This window comes from Homo sapiens, chromosome 4 (assembly GCF_000001405.40).
Source record: "Homo sapiens chromosome 4, GRCh38.p14 Primary Assembly".
NCBI classification, from domain to species: domain Eukaryota; kingdom Metazoa; phylum Chordata; class Mammalia; order Primates; family Hominidae; genus Homo; species Homo sapiens.
In genome coordinates this window covers 56,327,237-56,340,379 of record NC_000004.12, presented here as the reverse complement: position 1 = coordinate 56,340,379, position 13,143 = coordinate 56,327,237, and the positions used below count along the sequence as shown (strand labels likewise).

General features: G+C 39.9%; 2 protein-coding genes and 1 pseudogene across 26 annotated transcripts in view; 2 read left to right on the top strand and 1 right to left on the bottom strand.

Annotated features, from left to right (window-relative positions):
- AASDH (aminoadipate-semialdehyde dehydrogenase) overlaps positions 1-2,090 on the top strand; it is a 49,202-nt gene extending 47,112 nt beyond the window's left edge. For all 13 annotated transcript variants that reach the window (NM_001286668.2, NM_001323893.2, NM_001286669.2 and 10 more), the window contains one exon: positions 1,589-2,090. In NM_001286668.2, the coding sequence (NP_001273597.1) occupies positions 1,589-1,978 (390 nt within the window). In that variant the 3' untranslated portion in view covers positions 1,979-2,090. The remainder of the gene's footprint in view (positions 1-1,588) is intronic.
- Positions 9,163-9,203, top strand: RNA5SP162 (RNA, 5S ribosomal pseudogene 162; annotated as a pseudogene).
- CRACD (capping protein inhibiting regulator of actin dynamics) overlaps positions 9,771-13,143 on the bottom strand; it is a 281,512-nt gene continuing 278,139 nt past the window's right edge. For all 13 annotated transcript variants that reach the window (XM_047415994.1, NM_001393381.1, NM_001393384.1 and 10 more), the window contains one exon: positions 9,771-12,736. In XM_047415994.1, the coding sequence (XP_047271950.1) occupies positions 12,576-12,736 (161 nt within the window). In that variant the 3' untranslated portion in view covers positions 9,771-12,575. The remainder of the gene's footprint in view (positions 12,737-13,143) is intronic.

Here is a 13,143-nt window from a genome sequence, read left to right as displayed (position 1 = left end):
CTGTAACTACGTGGATTTATTTCTAGGTTCTCCATTCTATTACATTGATCTATTTTTATACCAATACAGTGCCATTTTGGCTAAATTAGCCTTATTTTGAAGTCAGTTACTGTGATGCCTCCAGCTTTGTTCTTTTTACCCAATATTGCTTTGGCTATTCTGGGTCTTTTTTGGTTCCATATGAATTTTATTTTCTTTAATTTTATTTTTTGAGATGGAATCTTGTTCTGTTGCCCAGGCTGGAGTGCACTGGCACAATTTTGGCTCACTGAAACCTCTGCCTCCCGGGTTCAAGCCATTCTCCTGCCTCAGCCTCCTGAATAGCTAGGATTACAGGTGTGTACCACCACACCCAGCTAATTTTTGTATTTTTAGTAGAGATGGGGTTTCACCATGTTGGCCAGGCTGGTCTCGAACTCCTGACCTCAGGTGATCCACCTGCCTTGGCCTCCCAAAGTGTTGGGATTACAGGTGTGAGCCACCATGCCTGGCCACAACTTATAACTGTTTATCATTGCCCATAAACTCTTCCTTTCAGCACAATTAACTTTTTTCCTACATTTGGAAAAGAAGATACATAGTTTGTAAGAAGATATATTGAAAACTGGTCTCAATTTTTTTTTTTTTTTTTGAAACAAGGTCTCACTATCGCCCAGGGTGGAGTGCAGTAGTGTGATCTTGGCTCACTGCAACCTCTGCCTCCCAGGTTCAAGTGGTTCTCCCACCTCAGCCTCCCCAGTAGCTGGGACTGTAGGTGTGTGCCACCACACCTGGCTAATTTTTGTATTTTTAATAGAGATGGGGTTTCACCATGTTGGCCAAGCTGGTCTTGAACTCCTGACTGCAGGTGATCTGCCTGCCTTGGCCTCCCAAAATGCTGGGATTATAGGCATGAAACACCACGCCTGGCCCAGTTTTTAATAAGATACACTGAAGGCTGGATGTGGTGGCTCACACCTGTAATCTCTGCACTTTGGGAGGCCGAGGTGGGCGGATCACGAGGTCAGGAGATCGAGACCATCCTGGCTAACATGGTGAAACCTCATCTCTACTAAAAATACAAAAAATTACCTGGGTGTGGTGGCACGCGCCTAGCTACTCGGGAGGCTGAGGCGGGAGAAGCGCTTCAACCTGGCAAGCAGAGGATGCAGTGAGCTGAGATCATGCCACTGCACTCCAGCCTGGGCGACAGAGCAAGACTCCATCTCAAAAAAAAATAATAATAATAAATAAAAATTAAAAAAAGATAATATTGAAAACTCAATGTAGTTTTACCTTTGAACTCAGTGTCTCTGAATAATACTAACTCTTGAATGGAGTTCAAAATTAATTTTACTTATTATGCACGGCAGTGAATCACATAGTAACAACACTCCAGTATATTTTGTCTTAGATTTTACATTTTACCACTGGGACAGAGGTCTAGTATGATAGTGCTACTTTTCAGAAAAAGCCATTTTGTCTGTGTATAGTTACCATTCAAATAGCCTATATCTCTTAGATTTGCATTAAGAACCTCATAGAGCTTTAAGGGAGAATTGGAGCAATTAGATGAATGAATTATATTTATTTTTATTACTTGTTATAGGTTTGGCAGTTCTCTACCAGTGGACCAATCTTTTCATCCCCGTGTACCTCACCATCAGAGCAAAAAATATTTTTTGGTTCCCATGATTGCTTTATCTACTGTTGTAACATGAAAGGTCACCTGCAGTGGAAATTTGAAACTACTTCAAGGGTCTATGCAACACCGTTTGCTTTCCATAACTACAATGGCAGCAATGAAATGTTGCTGGCAGCAGCATCTACTGATGGGAAAGTGTGGATCTTGGAATCTCAGAGTGGACAATTGCAAAGTGTTTATGAACTTCCTGGAGAAGTCTTCTCTTCTCCTGTGGTCCTGGAATCAATGCTCATTATTGGGTGTAGAGATAATTATGTTTATTGTCTGGATTTATTGGGTGGCAATCAAAAATAATCAAATACAGTCCTTATTTGTATAACAAATGTGAGATATTTGAAAATATTTTACCATTATACATCATGTGGACTTATTTTATATTAAAGAAGATTATATTTTGGCTAAGAAACGGAAACTTGTCTACACTTGATTAGAGAACAACTATATTTTACTTCCCATAGGAACGACAGAAGCTTTTACAAGGAGTTAGAGAACAAAACACATCAATATAATTAGTAGCACTTTTGTTTAATTAGGTGTGATGGTTAACTTTATTTATATGTCAGCTTGACTGGCTAAGGGATGCTCAGATGATTGATAGCTGGTAAAACATTATTTCTGGGTTTGTCTGTGAGGCTGTTTCTGGAAAAGATGATTAGCATTTGAATTTGAATCAGTAGACTGAGTAAAGAAGGTCCTCCCTCACCAGTGTGCCAATGTGGGTGGCATCGTTCAATCTGATGAGGGCCTGAATAGAATGAAAAGGTAGAGGAGGGGCAAATGCTGTCTTCTTGCTGAGATGTATCCATCTGCTCCTGCCCTTGGACATCAGGGCTCCTGGTTCTGAAGCCTTTAGACCACTCTCCTGGGTCTCCAGCGTGCAAATGGCAGATGGTGGTACTTCTCAGCCTCCATCATAATCACTTAAGCCAATTTTCATAATACATCATCTCTCCTAATCGCTAGGTTTCTATGGAGAACCCTAATACATTAGGCTAATTTTATGTTTTTTTCTTTAAAAAAGCAAGATCCCAGCTGGGGGGCCGGGGGGAGAAACAGAATATACTTACTTGGTGGGTTAAAAACAGTCTTTATTACATGAATTTGTCATTCATGGCAAAAGGTTTTCTAAGGCAGGATCTAGTTATTGAATTATGTTCCTTAGTTATTTTTAAATGAAGTACTAATGTAGAATAAAATAAACACACATATATCACACCCCCCACATAGTACAATTTCATGGTTATACATGGTGATTTCAGGCATTCATTGTTCCTAGCAATGCCCTTTCCTTAAAATTTTGATCTTTTGCGGGCAGCCAAGATGGCCGAATAGGAACAGCTCCGGTCTACAGCTCCCAGCGTGAGTGACGCAGAAGACAGGTGATTTCTGCATTTCCATCTGAGGTACCGGGTTCATCTCACTAGGGAGTGCCAGAGAGTGGGCGCAGGACAGTGGGTGCAGCACACTGCGTGAGCCGAAGAGGGTGAGGCATTGCCTCACTCGGGAAGCGCAAGGGTTCAGGGAGTTCCCTTTCCTAGTCAAAGAAAGGGGTGACAGACGGCACCTGGAAAATCGGGTCACTTCCACACTAATACTGCGCTTTTGCAACGGGCTTAAAAAAAACGGCGCACCAGGAGATTATATCCCACACCTGCCTCGGAGGGTACTACGCCCACGGAGTCTCGCTGATTGCTAGCACAGCAGTTTGAAATCAAACTGCAAGGCGGCAGTGAGGCTGGGGGAGGGGCACCTGCCATTGCCCAGGCTTGCTTAGGTAAACAAAGCAGCCGGGAAGCTTGAACTGGGTGGAGCCCACCACAGCTCAAGGAGGCCTGCCTGCCTGCCTCTGTAGGCGCCACCTCTGGGGGCAGGGCACAGACAAACAAAAAGACAGCAGTAACCTCTGCAGACTTAAATGTCCCTGACAGCTTGGAAGAGAGCAGTGGTTCTCCCAGCATGCAGCTAGAGATGATCTGAGAACAGGCAGACTGCCTCAAGTGGGTCCCTGATCCCTGACCCCCGAGCAGCCTAACTGGGAGGCACCCCCCATTAGGGGCAGACTGACACCTCACACGGCCAGGTACTCCTCTGAGACAAAACTTCCAGAGGAACGATCAGACAGCAGCATTCGTGGTTCACGAAAATCCGCTGTTCTGCAGCCACTGCTGCTGATACCCAGACAAACGGTCTGGAGTGGACCTCTAGCAAACTCCAACAGACCTGCAGCTGAGGGCCCTATCTGTTAGAAGGAAAACTAACAAACAGAAAGGACATCCACACCAAAAACTCATCTGTACATCACCATCATCAAAGACCAAAAGTAGATAAAACCACAAAGATGGGGAAAAAACAGAGCAGAAAAACTGGAAACTCTAAAAAGCAGAGCGCCTCTCCTCCTCCAAAGGAACACAGTTCCTCACCAGCAACAGAACAAAGCTGGACGGAGAATGACTTTGACGAGTTGAGAGAAGGCTTCAGACGATCAAACTACTCCGAGCTACAGGAGGAAATTCAAACCAAAGGCAAAGAAGTTAAAAACTTTGAAAAAAATTTAGACAAATGTATAACTAGAATAACCAATACAGAGAAGTGCTTAAAGGAGCTGATGGAGCTGAAAGCCAAGGCTGGAGAACTACGTGAAGAATGCAGAAGCCTCAGGAGCCGATGCAATCAAATGGAAGAAAGGGTATCAGCCATGGAAGATGAAATGAATGAAATGAAGCGAGAAGGGAAGTTTAGAGAAAACAGAATGAAATGAACAAAGCCTCCAAGAAATATGGGACTATGTGAAAAGACAAAATCTACGTCTGATTGGTGTACCTGAAAGTGACAGGGAGAATGGAACCAAGTTGGAAAACACTCTGCAGGATATTATCCAGGAGAACTTCCCCAATCTAGCAAGGTAGGCCAACATTCAGATTCAGGAAATACAGAGAACACCACAAAGATACTCCTCGAGAGGAACAACTCCAAGACACATAATTGTCAGATTCACCAAAGTTGAAATGAAGGAAAAAATGTTAAGGGCAGCCTGAGAGAATGGTCGGGTTACCCACAAAGGGAAGCCCATCAGACTAACAGCGGATCTCTCGGCAGAAACTCTACAAGCCAGGAGAGAGTGGGGGCCAATATTCAACATTCTTAAAGAAAAGAATTTTCAACCCAGAATTTCATATCCAGCCAAACTAAGCTTCATAAGTGAAGGAGAAATAAAATACTTTACAGACAAGCAAATGCTGAGAAATTCTGTCACCACCAGGTCTGCCCTAAAAGAGCTTCTGAAGGAAGCACTCAACATGGAAAGGAACAACCGGTACCAGCCACTGCAAAATCATGCCAAATTGTAAAGACCATCAAGCCTAGGAAGAAACTGCATCAACTAATGAGCAAAATAACCAGCTAACATCATAATGACAGGATCAAATTCACACATAACAATATTAACTTTAAATGTAAATGGACCAAATGCTCCAATTAAAAGACACAGACTGGCAAATTGGATAAAGAGTCAAGACCCACCAGTGTGCTATATCCAGGAAACTCATCTCACGTGCAGAGACACACATAGGCTCAAAATAAAAGGATGGAGGAAGATCTACCAAGCAAATGGAAAACAAAAAAAGGCAGGGGTTGCAATCCTAGTCTCGGATAAAACAGACTTTAATCCAACAAAGATCAAAAGAGACAAAGAAGGCCATTACATAATGGTAAAGGGATCAATTCAACAAGAAGAGCTAACTATCCTAAATATATATGCACCCAATACAGGAGCACCCAGATTCATAAAGCAAGTCCTGAGTGACCTACAAAGAGACTTAGACTCCCACACAATAATAATGGCAGACTTTAACACCCCACTGTCAACCTTAGACAGATCGAGACAGAAAGTTAACAAGGATACCCAGGAATTGAACTCAGCGCTGCACCAAGCGGACCTAATAGACATCTACAGAACTCTCCACCCCAAATCAACAGAATATACATTTTTTTCAGCACCACACCACACCTATTCCAAAATTGACCACATAGTTGGAAGTAAAGCACTCCTCAGCAAATGTAAAAGAACAGAAATTATAACAAACTGTCTCTCAGACCACAGTGCAATCAAACTAGAACTCAGGATTAAGAAACTCACTCAAAACTGCTCAACTACATGGAAACTGAACAACCTGATCCTGAATGACTACTGGGTACATAATGAAATGAAGGCAGAAATCAAGATGTTCTTTGAAACCAACGAGAACAAAGACACAACATACCAGAATCTCTGGGACACATTCAAAGCAGTGTGTAGAGGGCAATTTATAGCACTAAATGCCCACAAGAGAAAGCAGGAAAGATCCAAAATTGACACCCTAACATCACAATTAAAAGAACTAGAAAAGCAAGAGCAAACACATTCAAAAGCTAGCAGAAGGCAAGAAATAACTCAAATCAGAGCAGAACTGAAGGAAATAGAGACACAAAAAACCCTTCAAAAAATTAATGAATCCAGGAGCTGGTTTTCTGAAAGGATCAACAAAATTGATAGACCGCTAGCAAGACTAATAAAGAAGAAAAGAGAGAAGAATCAAATAGACGCAATAAAAAATGATAAAGGGGATATCACTACCGATCCCACAGAAATACAAACTACCATCAGAGAATACTACAAACACCTCTACGCAAATAAACTAGAAAATCTAGAAGAAATGGATAAATTCCTCGACACATACACCCTCCCAAGACTAAACCAGGAAGAAGTTGAATCGCTGAATAGACCAATAACAGGCTCTGAAATTGTGGCAATAATCAATAGCTTACCAACCAAAAAGAGTCCAGGACCAGATGGATTCACAGCCGAATTCTACCAGAGGTACAAGGAGGAACTGGTACCATTCCTTCTGAAACTATTCTAATCAATAGAAAAAGAGGGAATCCTCCCTAACTCATTTTATGAGGCCAGCATCATCCTGATAGCAAAGCCTGGCAGAGACACAACCAAAAAAGAGAATTTTAGACCAATATCCTTGATGAACATTGATGCAAAAATCCTCAGTAAAATACTGGCAAACTGAATCCAGCAGCACATCAACAAGCTTATCCACCATGAACAAGTGGGCTTCATCCCTGGGATGCAAGGCTGGTTCAATATACGCAAATCAATAAACATAATCCAGCATATAAACAGAACCAAAGACAAAAACCACATGATTATCTCAATAGATGCAGAAAAGGCCTTTGACAAAATTCAACAACCCTTCATGCTAAAAACTCTCAATAAATTAGGTATTGATGGGACATATCTCAAAATAATAAGAGCTATCTATGACAAACCCACAGCCAATATCATACTGAATGGACAAAAACTGGAAGCATTCCCTTTGAAAACTGGCACAAGACAGGGATGCCCTCTCTCACCACTCCTATTCAACATAGTGTTGGAAGTTCTGGTCAGGGCAATTAGGCAGGAGAAGGAAATAAAGGGTATTCAATTAGGAAAAGAGGAAGTCAAATTGCCCCTGTTTGCAGATGACATGATTGTATGTCTAGAAAACCCTATTGTCTCAGCCCAAAATCTCCTTAAGCTGATAAGCAACTTCAGCAAAGTCTCAGGATACAAAATCGATGTACAAAAATCACAAGCATTCTTATACACCAATAACAGACAGCCAAATCATGAGTGAACTCCCACTCACAATTGCTTCAAAGAGAATAAAATACCTAGGAATCCAACTTACAAGGGAGGTGAAGGACCTCTTCAAGGAGAACTACAAACCACTGCTCAATGAAATAAAAGAGGATACAAACAAATGGAAGAACATTCCATGCTCATGGGTAGGAAGAATCAATATCGTGAAAATGGCCATACTGCCCAAGGTAATTTATAGATTCAATGCCATCCCCATCAAGCTACCAATGACTTCTTCACAGAATTGGAAAAAACTACTTTAAAGTTCATATGGAACCAAAAAAGAGCCCGCATCACCAAGTCAATCCTAAGCCAAAAGAACAAAGCTGGAGGCATCACGCTACCTGACTTCAAACTATACTACAAGGCTACAGTAACCAAAGCAGCATGGTACTGGTACCAAAACAGAGATATAGATCAATGGAACAGAACAGAGCCCTCAGAAATAATGCCACATATCTACAACTATCTGATCTTTGACAAACCTGAGAAAAACAAGCAATGGGGAAAGGATTCCCTATTTAATAAATGGTGCTGGGAAGACTGGCTAGCCATATGTAGAAAGCTGAAACTGGATCCCTTCCTTACACCTTATACAAAAATTAATTCAAGATGGATTAAAGACTTAAACGTTAGACCTAAAACCATAAAAACCCTAGAAGAAAACCTAGGCATTACCATTCAGGACATAGGCATGGGCAAGGACTTCATGTCTAAAACACCAAAAGCCATGGCAACAAAAGCCAAAATTGACAAATGGGATCTAATCAAACTAAAGAGCTTCTGCACAGCAAAAGAAACTACCATCAGAGTGAACAGGCAACTTACAAAATGGGAGAAAATTTTCACAACCTACTTATCTGACAAAGGGCTAATATCCAGAATCTACAATGAACTCAAACAAATTTACAAGAAAAAAACAAACAACCTCATCAAAAAGTGGGCAAAGGACATGAACAGACACCTCTCAAAAGAAGACATTTATGCAGCCAAAAAACACATGAAAAAATGCTCACCATCACTGGCCATCAGAGAAATGCAAATCAAAACCACAATGAGATACCATCTCACACGAGTTAGAATGGCAATCATTAAAAAGTCAGGAAACAACAGGTGCTGGAGAGGATGTGGAGAAATAGGAACACTTTTACACTGTTGGTGGGACTGTAAACTAGTTCAACCATTGTGGAAGTCAGTGTGGCGATTCCTCAGGGATCTAGAACTAGAAATACCATTTGACCCAGCCATCCCATTACTGGGTATATACCCAAAGGCCTATAAATCATGCTGCTATAAAGACACATGCACACGTATGTTTATTGCGGCACTATTCGCAATAGTAAAGACTTGGAAGCAACCCAAATGTCCAACAATGATAGACTAGATTAAGAAAATGTGGCACATATACACCATGGAATACTATGCAGCCATACAAAATGATGAGTTCATGTCCTTTGTAGGGACACGGATGAAATTGGAAATCATCATTCTCAGTAAACTGTCGGAAGGACAAAAAACCAAACACTGCATGTTCTCACTCATAGGTGAGAATTGAACAATGAGAACACAAGGACACAGGAAGGGGAACATCACACTCTGGGGACTGTTGTGGGGTGGGGGGAGGGGGGAGGGATAGCATTAGGAGATATACCTAATGCTAAATGACGAGTTAATGGGTGCAGCACACCAGCATGGCACATGTATACATATGTAACTAACCTGCACACTGTGCACATGTACCCTAAAACTTAAAGTATAATAATAATAAAATTAAATTAAAAAAAAAAAAAGCTAAGTAGGGTCAAGCCTGGTTAGTACTTAGATGGGAGACCTCCTTGGAATACTAAGTGCCGTAGGTTTAAGAAAAATATGCAAAATATTTTAAAAATAAATAAAATTAAATCAAGTTATACATACTAAAAAAAATTTGATCTTTTGCTCATCTTGCAATGGGTTTTTTTTTTTGCATTAATTTTGATTTTTTTAAAATACTGCATCAAAATAGTATTTCTCTTGATTACTTAGTTTTCTGGAAGCCAAGGCAAGTGCTCACATGCCTAACTCACTTTTCATTTCACCAGGGTCTGGCCCTTTAAGTCAGTATGTCTGATGTGTGGCCATAAGCTGCAATTCTCACGTGCTCTCAGCTGCTGCTTCTGCTGCTGCTGCTGGTGAGTAGCCCATGCTGTGAGGTGGCTGTACAATCCTTTTGTCTGAGACCCAGACCATTCAATTCCAATTTAGGATTGAGACAAACATTTTATTTGCCCCCGTTCATTATTTTTCTCTAAAAATACCTAGGAAAAAAATGTAATAAAACAGTTTAAAGTTGTTCTTGTTCAACAAAAGTTATGTAAATATAATGAGATTGTTTTGCAGTTGGTCATCGAAATCAAATTCCATCAGTGCCGAAGATCTCGTGGGTATTTTTTATTGAAAGATCTTTTCCCTTCAATAATGGACATTTTACATTAAAACTTTATACAACTAAAATATGCAAATTATATTAAAATCACACTAAGGTATTTTCATTAAGTCTCTACTTTACTGTTGGTAAAAATATTGTAAGACACTTGTAACTAATGTTTCTGCTTTAAAATAAGCAATTAAACTAAACGTCACAAGAAGAGACAATACATACTATATATTTGCAGATAACTGGCTAAATGATAATTTAATAGTAATAATGTCTGTGTAAGAAACAATTGCACTTGAAAAATTAAAAAAGTAAACAAAAAACCCTCTAGTTTTATATATAAGTCTATGAACAGAGGTTAATCATCTATAACCTTGCCAGGAGAAGTGTATGTTTGTTTAAATAAAAAAAAAAAAAAGTTTGCATTTAACATAGTGATCATTCATTTAAAAAAAAAGTCTTGAACTTTTTATATGTTTTTACAGAATTCCCCATAGTTTGTTGCTCAGAAGACTACTAAAGCAAAATAACACTTCATTGGTATTTAGTGCAAATTTGGGGTGATTTTGAAATGAAATGTTAAACATGTACCCTTTAGAAGCTGTTAGAAGTAAGTATTGTGACTGCCCTTTCTTCAGTATACTCTTCTTTTAAAGACTTTGATGGAAAAATTTTAACTGAGGTATTTCGCCTGTTTTGTTTGGGCACAGTGATATCCCAGCCAATACAAAGTTGACACATCTACAACTTTTTGTAACTGATCTTAGTTCCCCACCTGTTCCCTGCCATAATTGGGATATTGTCCAAAGCTGACAGGATGAAAGAAAAAGTCAATTCAGAAGAATTACTGTAGCATTATCATTCCAGGGCTGTAGGTGGAAAGATTCCCATTAAAAAGTGTTATATTAGTGAGGAAATCATTGGAACTAACAAATGCCTACATATAAGATTTAGAAATGAACATTAGTATGGAAGACGTGCAGTGAAATACTAATTGCTTGCCATAGCAATAAAAAAAGGTTACATTGATTTTTAACAGTCTGAAGGTCCAGTATATATGATATTAAATCCAACTTGCAAGAGTACAACTATCCACTTGACCACACATGCCAGCTGCTACAGTGAGGCTGAGCTATTGTTTCTAGAAAGAAAATGGTTTCTACATGGTAAATAACTTTGCCATCATCCTTTATTTAAGGTACATGGTAGAATAACAGCACATTGCATATTGAGCGAGCATAAAGGAAAGTAATGATGGATACTTAATAAAGCATGTTTTTGTAGGAGAGGAAAAAGGATGTAATTCCCTCTGCACAGAGCAAAGGATGTGTACCTATATTTCGGAGTAAGAATCTAAGAAAAGGGGAATATGCCAACACTATGAAATATAAGGTTAGCACCAGCAATATGTGAGTTTGCCAGTATGTCTGTTTCATGTAAATTTAGGGCAATAAAAGTGAATATATGTGGCTTTTAAACTGCCAAGTCCCTTCTTTGTATGCACATGTGTATGATGATAAAAAGGCCACTTAAAACTCAGATGTTTTTTAAAGGTAGCAAGGTGAATGCTCAAAATTAGAAATGCTACTGGACATGTGACTCTAAATATGAATTACTCAATTATAGTAAAGAAAAGACTTTCTGCAGGAAGTCCTTATTACAAAGGCTCCAAATCTTGGCTTCCTGTTTATTTTCCCTAAAGACCAAAGGGAATTTTCAAACATGTAATGTCAATAACCTGTTGCTTCTTGTAATAAATGGCTGGCTTGGGGGGTTGTTTTATTATTTTTCCTGTCTCACTGTTGCTTTTTGAGTGAATGAGCCTCCCCTTCGAAGTCTGAAAAATTAGATTGCATTAGGATCAGTGTTTCTCACAGTTCTTAACCTTTGGGATCTATCAGAACTGACCTGAAGAGTTTTTGCCAGAATACATATTCCTGGCCCAGTCCCCACAGGCTCTGATTGAGTAGGCCCTAGGAGGGAGCCTACACATCATAAGAACTACTGCCCTAGATGGAGATTCTCAGAGACAGAAAGTGAACTTGTAGCTCTGATCTAGAATTGTCTTTCTTCACTACATTAAATTAAAATGTTCCCTGGGAGCCAACTGGGCCAAATGCTTCACATGTCCTTAAGGAGGGTATTGGAATAACAGGGCCCCACACTATGAATCCACAGTGCGGTAAAAATGTGAATGGATGTGCCTTCTGGGTTACAGCTTCAGAGTGGGGAAAACTCATGAAAACTAAGATGGGCACAGTTGGGTGCCAGAATGTTCCTTGTGATTCCCAATTACTCACTGCATTCAGGAGAATGGGTGTTCTTGCTTTTAGCTAGATATGATCCTTTCACCATTACTGTAGAAAGGATAAACATTCCCAGACATATGGTAGAGTAAATGTTTTGGACAAAGAAAATTAGTGCATAGAATCAAAAAACCATTACCAAAGGTTGGCAAAAGTACATGTTCTGAATGGTGTGTGGGTGGGTGTGTGTGCAAGGCCATGAAATGGGCATGGCAGGCTCTCACGAGTTCTTAGCTTAGAGATTTTGCTTCATGTGGTCCTGTGGACGGAATTTTCTCTTGAGAACTAGGAGGAGCTCGAGGCACCAGGACCTAGGGTTGTGCAAATCCACTCTTTACAATGAACACCACCAGTTCAGTTTCTAAACATTATTTTGGAGCCTATAAAACATGCTTCTTTTCCCTAGCTTGATTTCTTTACCCCATATAAAAAATAAATAAATAAAAAGGGCAAGAGAGGAGCCAATAACTGGCAGTAGGGATGGGTGAGAGTCACTCTTTACTTAATAATCTGTGGACAGTCGCTCCAAGCCTTTGCTTTCCTTTTGGCCAAAGCCAGCCAGGCTGGTTCTGTTGACACGGGGGCAGCATCCGGGGTGGAAAACCTCTTGGTGACTTCTTTTACCAGCGGCGCTGGGGGAGCCGAGTCGGAGATCTCCACTGGATTTTGTTTTGAAGGAAAAGGAAAAAGTAAGTTCACAGCCACACTACAAATTTTCTTTTTAATTAACAGATGATAAACTATGTATTTATCATGACAAACTGTATTTGTCATGTACAACATTGTTTTGAAATATGTATACATTGTGAAATAGCTAAATCTAACTAATTAAAATATACAAAACCTCACAGTTATCATTTTTATGGTGAGAGCATTTAAAATCTACTCTCTTAGGTCTCTTGAACTTATTCCTCTTATCTAACTGAAATTTTGTATCCTTTGATGAACATCTCTCCAACACCCCCCACCCCAGCCATATTTTGATTTATCAGAAGTGTGAGACTGAAAAAAGAAAACCCAGTGAAACACAGAGAGGCAAATTCCTGGACTCCCTCAGTGAGGAGAA